Raw genomic sequence first — 15,493 nt, forward strand, 5'->3', positions numbered from 1 at the left:
TCATAGCCATGTGTGACTGGTGGCTGCCGTCTTGGGTGGTGCCTTCATTGTCCCAGAAAGTTCTGTTGGAGCAAGCCCAGCTGGAGGAACCCAGCTTCCCTGGCACGCCTGAGGGTGACATGGTGCCCTCACCGCCTTCTGTCTGTCCTCACTTTCTCCTGCCCTGTCCCTCCGCCCTCAGGTGAGAAGCCCTTTGAGTGTAAGCTCTGCCACCAGCGCTCCCGGGACTACTCGGCCATGATCAAGCACCTGAGAACGCACAACGGCGCCTCGCCCTACCAGTGCACCATCTGCACAGAGTACTGCCCCAGCCTCTCCTCCATGCAGAAGCACATGAAGGGCCACAAGCCCGAGGAGATCCCGCCCGACTGGAGGATAGAGAAGACGTACCTCTACCTGTGCTATGTGTGAAGGGAGGCCCGCGGCGGTGGAGCCGAGCGGGGAGCCAGGAAAGAAGAGTTGGAGTGAGATGAAGGAAGGACTATGACAAATAAAAAAGGAAAAGAAAAAAAAAAACAGAAGGAAAAGGAAACCTGGTAGCTTTTTGGCCTTGGATTCTCTCTGGGCTCCAGATGACCTGGATGCCAAGCCACTGCCCCTCCTCTGGGGGCCTCCACCCTCCTCTCCCGGCTGGAGGTTTGCCTGATTTTCTGGGATGGGGTTGGGTATTTTGTTCACTCAAATGGTGGCACATTTTTCTCCTTCCTTCACCCAGACCTTCTTTTATGTGTCCAGAAATGGAGGCTAGAAAGCAGGTGAGAGGTCCTCTGGTCAGAGCCACACGGTCTGTGCCGGCCTTCCTCCACCAAGACCCCCAGGAGATGAAGGGAGGGAGGAGGTGAGCCAGAAGGGCGCTCCCCTGCTGATGGGTCTGGGCTGGGTCACTAGCTGCTCAAAATGGCAGCTCTAGTTTGCTGGCGGCTGACTGGGGAGGAGAAGGGCTCTGTTTCTCTTCCCACCACTCAGCCCACCTGCTGCTTTCCTCTGCTTTGCCACATCTGGGTGTCCCCCGGTGGTCTCTGAGAGCCTCAGGACCCCTGCCCCTCCTCCAGCTCTTTGTTCCCAGCCTCCCCTTGACTCCTGTCCTCCAAGTCCCAGGGGAGTCCCAGCCCCTCAGGGACCTGGCGGTGTCTCCATCCTTCTCCGGTTCCCTAGTGGGATAGCTGCCTCTGACTTCAGGGTCCCTCCTACCCTCAGCCTTCTGAGAACACAAAACAAATCCAATACCCCACCCTAGTCCAGCACCATCGTGAGCAAGATTCCTGCTGCGCTGCTTCCAAAATGGAAAAGCATCACAACTAAATACCTAATATCCTACCAAACAAACCACAGTCCCTACGTAGCCCTACTTCAGTCCCAGGAGAAGGAATCCATGAATGGGCTGAGGTTCCGAGGGTAGGTTGTGGATGTCTTTCTCTAGAGGGGTCCCACACCTGGAAAAGAGGACACCCAGCCCGTGGGATGAGGGAAGCTGGGCAAGGGAGAAAGTTGTTGAGTCACACTGGGGACCCCAGATGTAGTGAGCTCAGCAAGAAAAGCCAGGTCCAGAGAGAGTCGCACAGAATTCCTGACTCACAGCGCCCCTCGGTCCACAGTGGAGAGGAGGAGGAGGAGGAGCAGAAGGAGGGGGAGGAGCTGCAGGAGGAGGAGGATTTGAAAGCGCTTTGGCCTTGTGTTATGTTTTGCTTCTTTTCTGTGTCCCCTGTTAGCACATTGTACTTGAATTACCTCAGTTTTTTGTGACCTCATGAGCTTTCTTAACCTCTGTATCTCTTTTTCGGTTGGGGCTTGGAGGAATGGGGAGGGTGTTCTTTTCTGTTTCTTGTGTAAATTAATAGTTGTTTTTATAGACTTCAGCTGGTCAAGACCCTCCCCGTGCCCCTGGAGACCAGCCTCCCAGCTGGCAGGAACTGTGCAGGAGGAGTTGATACTCAGGATCTGAATGTGAGGGCCGAGGAGGGCGAAGAGCGTGGGTGGGGAGGGGATGTTGCTTTGGGGTCTCATGGTCCCCAGAGGGCACTAGGGAGTCACTTTTGGCTCCGCTGGTGCATGAAGTCACCTGTGGCCACCATCCGTTCCGCCTAAAACACTCTGGAGAGAATCCCACCTTTCTTACAATTTGCTGGGCCATTGAGGTTTGAGGGCCTGTGTTTGGATCCTTGCAACTGTGTGGTCTCACCTCTGTGCGTGCATTCTCATTGCCAGAATTGGTCTATTTTCACGGCTGGTCTTTGGGGAGGGGGGCGGGATCCAGCCTTTGTTTTGTTGTGTTGGGGTGGGGGTGTTGTTTTTCTAAAAGCTACCTCTTATGTTTGTCCAGTTGTTCTTTTGTTCCTTTCCCGCCTCCCATTCTGCTGCTCTTCCTCCCTCTTTTCCCCAACCTCCCCCGACCCTCCTGAATTTTGGAAAGCACATTTGCAATATTCGTGTTTGCTTTGGGACGGACCCTCCGTTTCATCTCATGCTTTATGTGTAAGAGTTTTTTATTATTATTTTTTCTTTCCTTTCTCTCTCTGAGAAAGTTGTGGCTGCGTTTTGATCTTAGGTTTTACAAAGTGGTTTAGGGAAGCGGTTTTGGGGAGAAGGATCACGAGGAATGTAGGGAAGCCGGAGGGATGGGTGCTGCTGCGACGACCCCCCCGTCCCTCGGCCCCAGCCCTCCTGCCCTCCCCTTCAATCTCATCCACCAAATCTGAAGGCCTTAAAATTGTGTGTTGGGAGGATGTGAATTGGGAGGACGGTGTCACTAGACTGTGGATTAGGGATGGTAAAGTAGGGAGGATGCTATTTTGCAACTATAGTAACGACTTAGTGTTTTGGAAAGGAAAAGAAGTTAAACTTGAAATACGTGACTAGAACAGTTGTCATGTTTATAATGTGAAAAGGGTGAAATCATTTGGGGGAGGGGCCGTCTGTAAGAAATCATTATGCACTATGGCTTCCTCCTCTGGTCTGGGAAGAAGCGGGGACTGGCTGGCCCTCAGGGGATCTGTAAATCCCAGAAAACAGTATTTTTAACAGCAAGATGTCATTCAACATTGGTGGGGAAGGAAGAGAAAAAAATCAAACTATTCCATAGAACTAGCTGGCCCCCTCACTCCCATGCCCTTCCCACTCAGCCTGGGCCCCTCCCCGCTCCATTCATAAAAGCTGAGAGGGTTGAGCTAATCTTCACAAATTGTAATATTTTTGTAGTATCTGTTAGTTCCTTCGTCAGTTCTGCAGAACCTTGCCCTTTCCTTTTGTAATGTGAATAGGAAGACAAAAGACAAAAAAAAATCCACCACCACCAAAATATCCCTTTGTACATGTATGTGCGTGTGCGCGTGTGCTTTGTGTGTGTGGTTGTGTGTTAAATCATGCAGTATTGTCGTAATCTGGTGTTGCAGCAATGGATGGTACTAAATCAGCACCTGGATGCCCCACCCAACCCCGTGGGCCCTGCAGACCCCAGTAGGGAGGTATGGGGAGAGCTCAGGGGAGTGTGGTTTCTGAGGGCTACTGTCTGGGGACACCTCTGAACTTACTGTACCTTCCTCTCCCCATGAAGACACCTGAATAGAGTCTAACATGCCTCTTCTCCAACTTCCTACCTACAACAACAGAACAGTTCTAATGTTGCACGGCCTAGTGGCCAGGGGGCAAGCTAAGAGGCTGTCTGGAGGCTTTATATGTGTCTGGAGTTAAGGGGAGAGGAGGAGGGTAGACAGGGGTCTCTCCCCAGGTGGGATCTGAATATCTGTCCTCCCCTCTTCTTCATGCCACCTGACTCCTTCGGCCCCCTGGCTGCCTTTAGCTGTGGTACTGCTGACAACCCTGCTTGCTACTGCCTTATCCAGCACAGTGAAAAACTTCTCCAGCCTGGCAAGGCCACGTTGGTTAATAGTCCCTTTCCCATGTCCAGCTCCTACAAATATGTCCCTTAATGCATTTGGTGACATTTACACCTCATGTGCTCTTTCCCTATTCACTCCTTCACTCATTCAAAGCATTAAAATCCTATGTATATATAGGATAGACAAATATATAGATATATAGATATATATATATATAGCAAGAGATTGATATAAAATAGTAAATATCATTGCTGCTTTGGGCTGCTTTGGAGGAGGAGGCCATGAATATGGGGAAGGCAGATCTGGGGTGCAGGGGTAGGTAGGGAGGCTGGGGGACCCAGTGATTCAGTACAATCCAAGGGATGCAACGCGGGCTTGTTTAATCTTTGTGCCTGAACAGTTTTTCCATGTTGAGAAAAAAAAGAAAAAAAAACTGCTGCAATTTTTCACAAGTGTATGGTACCTTTCTGGATGCTATTGGTACAATTGCTGTGGATGGAAGAGGGCCATTGAGCTTACCTCCCTATAGGGGAGAGAGCAGAGGTGGGGCAGCCTTTCGACTCTGTCCATGACGGCTGGCAGGGTCAGGGTAGTTTCTGGGCCTGCTTCCCGGCAAGCCGAGCTAGGGTGAAAACTGGGGGCGCACCAGGATGTGAGACAGAAAAGCAGAAGATGAGACTCTGTTCATTCACTTTTCCTAGGCCCATCCTGTGGTCATCTTTCCCCCTCCCATCATACCTCCTCCTTCCTGGAGCCTCTGCCGGCTTGGCTGTAATGGTGGCACTTACCTGGATATTTCAGTGGGAGGATGAAAGGCGAGACTCACCCTACGCGGTGGGACAGATGGGGAGAGGAAAAAGGCAGAGATGGCCAGGAGAGGGGTGCAGGACAAACCAGAGAGGTTGGGTCAGGGGAAAAGGGTGGGGAGAAAGAGGGGTGCAGGCCCTGCAGGCCGGTTAGCCAGCAGCTGCGGCCTCCCCGGGCCCTTGGCATCCAACTTCGCAGACAGGGTACCAGCCTCCTGGTGTGTATCATAGGATTTGTTCACATAGTGTTATGCATGATCTTCGTAAGGTTAAGAAGCCGTGGTGGTGCACCATGACATCCAACCCGTATATATAAAGATAAATATATATATATATGTATGTAAATTATAGCACTGAGGGCCCTGCTGCCCTGCTGGACCAAGCAAAACTAAGCCTTTTGGTTTGGGTATTATGTTTCGTTTTGTTATTTGTTTGTTTTTGTGGCTTGTCTTATGTCGTGATAGCACAAGTGCCAGTCGGATTGCTCTGTATTACAGAATAGTGTTTTTAATTCATCAATGTTCTAGTTAATGTCTACCTCAGCACCTCCTCTTAGCCTAATTTTAGGAGGTTGCCCAATTTTGTTTCTTCAATTTTACTGGTTACTTTTTTGTACAAATCAATCTCTTTCTCTCTTTCTCTCCTCCCCACCTCTCACCCTTGCCCTCTCCATCTCCCTCTCCCGCCCTCCCCTCCTCCCTCTGGCTCCCCGTCTCATTTCTGTCCACTCCATTCTCTCTCCCTCTCTCCTGCCTCCTGCTGCCCCCTCCCCAGCCCACTTCCCCGAGTTGTGCTTGCCGCTCCTTATCTGTTCTAGTTCCGAAGCAGTTTCACTCGAAGTTGTGCAGTCCTGGTTGCAGCTTTCCGCATCTGCCTTCGTTTCGTGTAGATTGACGCGTTTCTTTGTAATTTCAGTGTTTCTGACAAGATTTAAAAAAAAAAAAAAAGGAAAAAAAAAGAAAAAATGAATTTACTGCTGCAGGTTTTTTTCTCTCTCCATGTGTCACTAAGTGAAGTTTGTGCCTTCTATAGCAAAGAGAATATTTTTTACATCCTACTAACAGTAGATTTTTTTGTAGTGAACATTTTTTGTATTTTTATTTATAAGTCTCATAAGAAAAATAGCAATGTTCAGTTGTATACCTTGAATCTGCAGTTAGAAGAGAATAAAGTTAATTCAGTTGTCTCTCGCTTGAAGCGTCCCACCTTTTTATTGAAGTACTTGGTTTTGTTTTGTTTTTTTTTTTTGTTTTTTTTGCCTTTTCTTGTGTGGGGAACATGGTAGAGGAATTAAGATTTTTGTGTGGGGACTGGGAAAAAGAAAGCTCTGTATTACACATATTTAGACTTATCTATGTGTCACTTTTATGCCACATTTACAAGGCACAGATGCACTGAATAACATTTTTCTAATACTTTTTAGTTAAAAAATGTTAAATACGTTAATATCGTATGATCCTTGGTACAATGTGCTAGGTAGGCACTTGTTCACTTATTCAGCAAGACCACCATGTACCAGTTACTGTTGTCGGCGCTGGGAATTACAGCAAAGGACAAACAGACAAACCCTGGCCGCCCTGGGGCTACCATGCTAGCGGGCCGCTGAGTCGGAATCCGTGGCTGTGTTAGGATAACTTGCTCAGGATTGCACGGCTGGTGAGCAGCAGTCAGAACTCCATCCACCTCTCCTGATACCAGGCCAGGTTCCTTTACTCCAGAGTTCTCAAAGCAGGGGTCTCACGTCTTCTTTAGTCTTTAGAGAGACATTTTCAACTGACTCCTTAGTGGCTAAGCAAGCTTCAGAAATTTCTCAACAAGAAGCTTCCACACAATCAAAGGTCCCTGCCTGCGTCTGTAGCAGCCAAGAGCTGTTAAGAAAGGAGATTGGAGCAGGTGGCCTTGTGCAGGGGAGGGGATGGGTGGGAGGTGGCCGTGCAAGCTCTGCATTGTCATGGACGGAATAAAGGATTTCCACAACACTCAATGGGTACGATTCCCTCCCTGTCTCATCTCCCTGTGTCTGGGCCAAGCCCTCTTCTCTGGCCCTTTCCCCGTTCCTCTTATCGGGGATAGAAGCATCGCCCTATCTTTAGCTGTAAAACCAAAGCCACTCAATCCTAGACGTGGTGCTTCAGCACCTCTGCCTGAGGCCGTCCTCACTGCCTGTCTCTGACCAAAATAACCCCTCTCCTCCTCAAGACCCAGGGGACACAGCCATGATTGTCGTGCTGGGTCACTCCGGTAGGGTAAACCCACACCGAGCATCAGGCCTGGCCTCCAGCATCACCAGGAGTCGCAGGGAGCCATCACCCCACGCGCCACCGCCACCCACCTGGGGAGCCAAACAAGGCCTGGCCTGCCAGGGGTGGCACTGGGAGGGTTACCTTTCAGCCCTGTTCTCCTGGGGCCAAGACCCGGGTCTGTCTGACCCTGGGGTTGCTGAGCAGAAACCGCCTGGAGCTACCCCTACCACCGGACAATCTTCCCAGGAGGAGGAACAGGTGCAGCCTGGGGGCCTCCAGCCCCTAGAAGTTGCTTCTCTGTCTTTGCTTTCTCCTCTCCCTCTTTGCCGTCTGCTGTGCTTTCTTGACCCCTCCTGCCCCTCATCTTTTTCCTCTCTCCCAATCTTTTTTCTCTCCTTTCCACTCCTCCCCTCTCTTCCTCATCTGTGGTCTTTTCTCCTTTCTTTTTGCTTTTGTTTCTCTGTCCCACCTTATTTTCCCTCTCCACATATTTCTCATCTGGGAAACCAGTCCTTAACCAAATTCTGTGTTTTGATTTTGAGCAGTTGCCACCATTCCCCCAAGCCGTCCTGATCCTGGCTTTTCTTGGGCCCCTGCCTATTTCCTCACCCCCACACTCTACTCCAACTCCCCGACACACACACACAGACACACACACACAGCCTCCTCGCCCCTCCCCCAGCTCCCCTCCCCTCCCTCAGGCCTCAGCTTTCTCTTGACAGATGGGAGGGCAGTGAGCACTCCCTCTTTAAAACAACATTTAATCGCCGTTTTCTGTTCTTGGACATCAAAGCTGGGGCTTAGGCGCTGTGCTGGGGTCGCGGCGGCGCGGGCGCTGGGGGAGAGGAGGTGAGTGAATAGGGGCTGGGCTGAATGGGCTTTGTGTGACCGCCAGCTCTGCCAGCTTTACATGCTCTTTGACCCAGATATGATCTCATGGAGAGAAAGGGGCCCTGGCCAGGCCAGCCTGAGAATGCTCCCTCCGTGGCCTGACTCAACCCCTCTCCTCCCTGCCTGGGGCAGGCGGCCCCACTGCCGCCCCCTGCCAGCCCCGGCTGCCACTGCCCTCTGCCCCAACCCTGGCAATTGTGGGCAGCCTCCTCCAGAACACACTCACCAGGAGGGCACATTGCTGGGGTCAGAAGAGGGGACAGGCACCGAGGCAGGGGCTGGGAGGATGCCGCCGTGGGGCTGCAGGGTGTTCTCCAGGGACCTTAAGCGGGAGCTCCCCGCATGCCCTGTAGTCCTGGCTGGGTTCAAGGAGGCGTTTGGGTCATTTCAGCCTTAGCAGCTCTCCTCCCAGTCGCTCTGAGGAACTCCTCTCCTGACCAAAGTGGAGAGCTGAGGCCCGGCGCCAGCAGAGGTTTGCTGAAGACTCAGGCAAGTTGCAGCCCGTGAGAAGAGGCATAAGGGAAGCCAAGGCCAAGGCCGCCTCCCTCCACTCAGCACGGCCAGGCCTTCCCATGTGGGAGCCCCTCACGCCCCTGGCACCAGGAAGGGAGGGGATTGGGGATCTGAAGATGACTGGCCTCAGTGCCCTGCTTCAGCCCAGACCCTCTGTCACTTCCATCCTCTGCTTTGCTTGCTGCCCAGAGCGATTTTCCAAAAATGCAAATAGCATCATGTCGCTCCCTAGATGAGAGTCCCTGGTGACTCCTCAGTACTCTGAGGATGGAATTCAAACTCCTTAACAAAGTTCCAAGACACCCTGAGTGACAGAGCCCCTGCTCAGCACCCAACTTCGTCTTAAGATCACTCTTGAGCCCCTCGGCCAACCCCTACTCTGCTCCAGCCGATGGGACCACGGGTGTTCTGGGCCACACCGAGCTCCATTCCCCTGTGGGCCTGTGCGTGTGCTGTTTCCTCTTCTGAGAGCTACGCAAACACACACACCCCTTCTGTCTGGCTCTCTCAACTTCTCCTTTTTCACTTTTCAGCTCAAACCTTCTCTCAGGAAGCCTTCCCTGGACCCCTGAAGCTAAATTAGGCATAGAGTCTCTATAGTACCATTTAGTCACCTGTTTCCTTAACTGTCACCATTACCAGACTGTCAGTTCCTTGAGGTCAGGAATTGTGTGTTATCTATCTTTGTGTTTCCAGAGCTTCATGCTGCCTGGCACATGATAGGCACCCGGTAAATCTTTGTTGTATAAATAGATGAAAGAAAGAGAGGGAGAAGGAGGGAAACAGAGAGGTAATTAGCACTCCAGGGCTCATGTTGCAGTTGTCAGGGGCACGTGAGAGCAGGGAAGGAGGAACATCACATGCCCGCTCGGGCACCTCCCCAGGACACGTGTACACACACGCAGAGGCCCAGTGGGGGGGGGGGAGCTCCTGCATCCCCACACCTGTGCTCATGTCGATTCATAGACCACCTGACCCGTGTCTGCCGCATGCCAGAGGAAGGAGCAGGAGGCAACAGGGCAGTGGTGCTTCATAGTTGGGAGCTGCCTGGGTGTTGCTGGGCAGGATGCGGGGCAGGAGAGGGGCTGGGGGGTTGCATATGTAGACACCTGGTCCTTGGCCCATGGGGGCAGGTCCATCCCCCAGCTCTCTGTGTGGTTTCAGGCCCAGCCCCGCCGCCATCCCCACTTCCACTCGTGGGCTGGCAGGAGGGCAGGCTCCTCTCCAGGCTGCGTTTTCTGCACCCAGGGGGTGCCTCAGTGAAAGTGAACTCGCTCATTTAAACCTGACTCTGCCGCCCTGCAGCCCCCTGCAGCGCTAATTACCCTGTAGTTCTAAACTGATTGCTGTACACTAAGCTTAAGCCCTCCTTTATTTATTTACTGACTACATTAATAGCAAAGCCACGCTGCGTTCAGCCGCTCCCAACTGTACACCGGCTGGCTGCACCCGTTCCCTCATGTCTTCCCAGGGAGGCAGGGTGGAGAGATGCAGCCTGGCACAAGGCCCCCTTACCCACCACCCTGACTGAATCTCCAGGGCCAGACAACATGAGAAATCACTGACTTCATCCATACCTACTCTGGGACCCGATGGGGCTCCTCTTATTCTGACTCTATGACAGAGTGGGAACATACAACACACAACAGCTCACCAAGCAGAGGGGTCTGCTATTCACAGCACACTCAGAATGCTGCCTTTCAGCCTTCACTTGTGGGATGAGACGCTGAGCGCTGGCCTCATTTTACAGATGGGTAAACTGAGGCTGTGGCTCCATAGCTGGTAGGTGGTATCTCAGGCATGCTGTCCATCGCGGAGATGGCCGCCCCACTTGTCCCCACCCAGCCAGCTTTGACAATTTCTGTTGTGTGTTCCCATAACTTCTACCCCTTGCCACGAGAAAGGAAGCCCTTCCCTATGTGGAACTGAAACTGCTTTTTTGCTCTCAGCTTTTCTGCCTCATTCACCTGCTTGTCCAGAATTTGCTGGCAACTTTGGGAATACAGCCTTTCCTTCATTCTCAGCCTTTACCAAGCAGGTCTAAGTCAGACCTTCGATGCCAATCCCCACTTCCCTCCAGCACTCACACATCCAGGGATGTCTGGGGAGAGGAGGCCCGCTCCGGGCTCCGGTGTGGTCAAGCCCTGCTGGTTCTCCCATTCTGGGGTACAGAGGTGCTCATAAACACTGTCCTTGCCTGCATCTCTGAGTGCCCTCAAATCCCCTGAGGCAGAGCTGGGCCCTGGCCTTGGGGCACAGCAGCTCTCTGAAGACCAGATGGGCCCCATCAGGGTGCAGCATACGGACCCACGGAACCAAGCACCCAGGCTCTACTCTGATGCCAAATAGCTTGGTGGCTGCCGTGCGGTGCACCCTAGAGGAAGAGGGGCAGCTGAGATTTGGCAGAATCTGGGATTCAGTCGAGGGGACCTGGGTTTGAGGCCAGCTCTGCTGTGCACCGCGTGACCTTCACTGTATCTCAAAGGCTCCCGAAGGCCTCACTTCCTCAACCCTAAGACTGGGGTCAGCAAATACCTAGCCCACCCATCCTCAGGACAATTGTGAAGCCAACTAGAGTAACGACGTGAATCAGCTTTCTAAACACCACGATGCTATAAACGTGAGTTATCAATGGGGACAGGCTCTGGCTGGTCTGGAAGGGGAGCTGGGGTCCTAGACATTTATTTCCAGAACAGGAGCCCACGGAGCCAGGGACCCAGGAGCCTGGGATTCTGGAGTAGTGAGGCTGCTGCCGGCATCTCCGGGACTCTGTCTCCACCTAGTGGGCACTGACTGCAGGTGCTTCTGCTGCTAAGGCCGCCTGGAAAGCAACTGGGGTTGCACATCCCCTTAAAAGCTGCCTTGGGGCCGGGCGCGGTGGCTCACGCCTGTAATCCCAGCACTTTGGGAGGCCGAGGCGGGTGGATCACCTGAAGTCGGGAGTTTGAGACCAGCCTGGCCAACATGGAGAAACCCCATCTCTACTAAAAATAAAAATAAATTAGCCGGGTGTGGTGGTGCATGCCTGTAATCCCAGCTACTCGGGAGGCTGAGGCAGGAGAATCGCTTGAACCCGGGAGATGGAGGTTGCGGTGAGCCGAGATGGCGCCATTGCATTCCAGCCTGGGCGACAAGAGCGAAACTCCATCTCAAAACAAACAAACAAACAAACAAACAAAAAGCTGCCTTGGTTCCTTTGGGTCCCCTGCTATCCCAGGTCAGGGTAGGGCTGAGTAAGGAGGGAATGTGGTTCAGATTTGTGCCAGAGAAGAAACGCTTTAAACTACTCGGGGTTGGGGGACGGTGTTCCGCTGGGCCTTTCCAGAAGTCTTCCTAAGTCAATAGTTCTTTCTTGACTTTTCTTCTCCCATCCACCAACTGGCCATATCAAATCCAACTCCTCCCATCCCTAAAAAGCTGAGTGGGAAGCTGCTGTCAGTCAGCCCTAACCCCAGGGATACGCGAGGCCTCATCTTGCACTGAGGGAAGATCAACCTCAGATGGAATTCAGCTTCTCGGAAGCTTTGTGACTGGGAAAGAAGCAGGCAGGCCTCGAAGGGTTTGCAGAAGGAGCCCAGAGTGCCCCTAGGGCTGGGTCACTGAGACCCTGGGACGTGACAGTAAAAGGCTACAGGGCAATGGGACAAACTCTTACTTCCTGAGGTCCTGAACCTTCCGAAAGCCTAGAAAACCCATAATGGAGGGTCGCTGAAGTCAGCTCCTGCCTTTAAATCCAACTGCCCTTTTTAAATTTTATTTTTATTTTTTATCTTCAGCTTTTAAGTTCAGGGGTACATGTGCCGGATGTGCAGGTTTGTTCCATAGGCAAACATGCGCCTTGGTGGTTTGCGGCACAGATCATCCCATCACCTAGTTACTAAGCCCAGCATTCCTTAGCTATTCTTCCTCATGCTCTCCCTTTCACCCCCAACCCAACACAGGCCCCGGTGTGTGTTGTTCCCCTCCACGTGTCCATGTGTTCTCATTGTTCAGCTCCCACTTATAAGTGAGAACATGCGGTGTTTGGTTTTTTGTCGAACTGCCCTTTTAATGCAGTGAGTGAGACTGGTGCCTGTCCTAAACCCTCCACACCCCACTTTCAGCTCTCAGAACCAGTTCACCAGCCAACCCCTGCACTTGGCCTACAGATGATTTGACTGGAAGTGATCTTAGGACAGGTCATCTTTTCACTCTCCTTGCCTCTGTGCGCTTCCAGCCATCTCAAATGGATGCAACTAAATGGTTTGGAAAACCCCTCCAACACGAAACTTCTAGGATTCTAGGACTCTAGGACTCTACTATAGAGCCAACTATAAAGATCCTCAGAAAAACACATACCCCTGGCTCCCTATCACCTGTCAGCACTTTTTAAAGCAGCAGCATTTCACTTTGTTTTCCCCTCCACGCCGACCAGTGTGGTCTTCAGCATAGAGTGAGCTTCTAGTGACACGAGCTGGAGGGAAAGAGGAAGTGCATCAGGACGGCTCGTCCAATGGACAAGGTAAGGGAAAGATCTTCCCTAATAACTCTCCATTTGGGAAGGAGGGAGTCACAAATGGCAGGGGAGGTGGGGACACTGGCCCTCACCAGCTCAACTTGAGGAATACTCACCTTACTCTCAGAAATCTGTCGATTACCATTCCTCCTTCACCCCCATCCCAAGCATGGGTACTTGACCTTTTCCTGAATTCTCCACAGCTGACACCAGCTGAATGCTTTTCCTGAATTCTCTGGCACAGCTGAGACCAGCCTGGGATATTTAAATTAGATTTCTCTGAAGTCTCAAGGATGGCAAAAGAAAACAAGCACCAATGAAACTGAGTACCCCCCCTGTTTCTAAGAGAAAAAAAGTTAATTTTTACAGTTATGATTATTTTCTCTTTTCTCTTTTCTCCTATTCCCTGCTTCCTACTTAGCTCTTTAGAAATGATTATAACCTTTACCTTCCCTTCACCAGACACTCCCTTCTGGGCAAGCTTATCTGACTGTGTGCTTACTTAGCAGCTCCAGAGCTGAGCTCTCTCCTACCAGGAGCTTGCGTCGAGAGACAGCAGTCAATTATTTACAACCTGAAGGGTGCCCATTACAAAACTCTTTCCCACCTGAAGAGTATCTCAAAATCATGGCCACTTTATAACCTAGCTCTGCCCACGATGGCACCAGCTCAACCACCTGGCAGATAACGCACAAACCACGTAGACCCCACACCTGCTCGCTCCCTCCCCTGTATGCCGTTCAAATTAAGTCCCCCTTTAAAAGTCCCGAATTTCTGCCCCAAAAGTGAAGTGCTAGCCTTAAAGGCAGAAGCCTGGACTTCCTCCCCTAAGCTAAACTTTGGAATAAAGTCAGTGTCTTTATACCAGACCTCTTGTTAGTTGAACTCTACAAGTGGCAAGCAACTGAACCTCCATTTTGGTTACACCAAGAACAGCATAACATTAGATCATCTGGTTCACAGGCAGCAGCATGGCTCCCATATCATGCCTTCCTGCCTGGTTCTCTGCCTGCCTTCAGGAGACAGGGCCTGTCTTTAATCCCTGCCACTGACAAGCCTGATAAAGTGAGACCCAGAGTGACGTGGGCTTCCTGTTTCTAATGGACTATGTGTCCATCCTCTTATTAAAAGTCAGCTCCTCCTCTTGGGCTCTGGATCATATCCTCTCAGTCTTTCCAAGCCCTTTGCTCCTGTGCTTGTCTTCTGTTTGCTACATCCATTTCCCCCTCTCTTCCTAATTATTCACATCAGCATAGAACACCTCCCATTTTAGCAAACCTTTCCTTGAGCCCACATCCCCCTTTAGCTTCCACCCATATTTCTCTCTTCCTTGGAAGAGCAAAATTCTAGAGAGCTGTCTGCAGACACTGTCTTCCTTCCTTTTTCTTACAACAATTTCCAATTTGAGTTTTATCTCTGTTATTCCTTTAAAATTGTCTTTTCAAGTTCACTAGTGGTTCCACCATGCAAAATGCAATGGCTTCTTTGCTGATCTGAAAATATAGGATTAACAAACTCAGTTTCTTCCTGCCACCCTCTCACAACATAGTCACATGCAGCTTCTGACACCTAATGTAGGGGGCTTCTCCCCACACACCAAGCAAGCACTCCTCCAGTAGCTGACACCAGCTGGGTGCTCTCTAACTCAATTCCATTCCAACACTACCTACCTGGAGATAGCATCAGATCCCACAGGTTAAGGGTTCAGTCCCACAAAAGCGCCTCCCACTTCCAATGCCAATCACAAGCTCCAGGTTGTTTGATCCGTGCTTCTGATGACCAGCTATATATCAGGGTTCCCACAACCTCCTCATTGGGTTTGATTAATTTGCTAGAGTGGTTCACTGAACTTAGGGAAACATCTACATTTACCTATTTACTATAAAAGATATTACAAAGGATACAGTTGAAGAGATGCATAGGGCAAAGTATGGGAAGGGGCTTGGCACTTCCATACCCTCCCTGGGTGTGCCACTCTCCAGGAACTTCCAGGGATGTGGCAGTCTGGAAGCTCTCTGAACCCTGTCCTTTTGGGTTTTTATGGAAGCTTCATTATATAGGCATGATTGATTAAGTTACTGGCCATTGGAAATCAACTCAACCTTCAGCCCCTCTCCCTTCCCTGGATGTTGCAGGGTAGGGTTGAAAGTCCCAACCCTCTAATTCTGCCTTGGTCTTTCCAGCAACCAGCCCCCATCCTGAAGCTGCCTATGGGCTGCCAACCCCTCAGTAAACTCATTCGCATATGAAAAGGCACTTTTTAACATAAAATCACTTTGAAGATTTCAAGGATTTTAGGAGTTGTGCGCCAAGAGACAGGGACGAAGACCAAATATATATTTCACAATATCACAGCTGGCTTTATCTTCCTTGATCTCCCAACAGCTTTCTACATAACTGACTTGCTCCTTTTGGAAACACTTCTGGTTTCCCTTCCCTCACTGGCTGCTGCTTCTCAGTCTTGTTGGCTCACCCCATCATCTTCTTCTGCTGGAGCTCTGGATATTAGACAGTCTCTGAAAAGTTCCTTGATGCTTTTACTTTGTCTAGCTACATTCTCCCCCACCCTGATGTCTCATCTATTTCTGTTGCTTTTAGAGTGTACCTCTGGGAGATTATTCCTTAACTGTTCCCTGGCCACGTTTGAAGTGAGTCCTGGGATTGAGTCTGCCTTGGGACAGTGTGGCTTTCAGGACCAGCCCAATTCCT

The 15,493-nt window shown here is 51.1% G+C and overlaps 2 protein-coding genes across 7 annotated transcripts in view, besides 1 other annotated feature; both read left to right on the top strand.

Annotated features, from left to right (window-relative positions):
* Positions 1 to 6,626, top strand: part of ZBTB16 (zinc finger and BTB domain containing 16) — a 197,060-nt gene extending 190,434 nt beyond the window's left edge. For 4 of the 5 annotated variants that reach the window (NM_001354750.2, NM_006006.6, NM_001354751.2 and 1 more), the window contains exon 7: positions 182 to 6,621. In NM_001354750.2, coding sequence (NP_001341679.1) covers positions 182 to 411 — 230 coding nt within the window. In that variant the 3' untranslated portion in view covers positions 412 to 6,621. Of the gene's footprint in view, positions 1 to 181 lie in introns of all 5 variants that reach the window. The other variant, NM_001354752.1, reaches the window with a different exon arrangement.
* Positions 7,471 to 7,999: an enhancer, noted in NCBI's record as "H3K4me1 hESC enhancer chr11:114128337-114128865 (GRCh37/hg19 assembly coordinates)". NCBI's record gives its function as "activates a minimal SCP1, AML or CMV promoter by ChIP-STARR-seq in primed H9 embryonic stem cells {active_cell/tissue: H9 hESC(primed)}" and the evidence as "EXISTENCE:reporter gene assay evidence [ECO:0000049][PMID:30033119]".
* NNMT (nicotinamide N-methyltransferase) overlaps positions 7,662 to 15,493 on the top strand; it is a 55,731-nt gene continuing 47,899 nt past the window's right edge. Inside the window, exons 1-2 of one of the 2 annotated variants that reach the window (NM_001372047.1) lie at positions 7,662 to 7,734; positions 12,704 to 12,790. The gene's annotated coding sequence lies outside the window, so the exon portion shown is untranslated. Of the gene's footprint in view, positions 7,735 to 10,623; positions 10,910 to 12,703; positions 12,791 to 15,493 lie in introns of those variants that run through there. The other variant, NR_164073.1, reaches the window with a different exon arrangement.

The sequence above is a fragment of the Homo sapiens genome, chromosome 11 (genome assembly GCF_000001405.40).
Source record: "Homo sapiens chromosome 11, GRCh38.p14 Primary Assembly".
Lineage (NCBI taxonomy): Eukaryota > Metazoa > Chordata > Mammalia > Primates > Hominidae > Homo > Homo sapiens.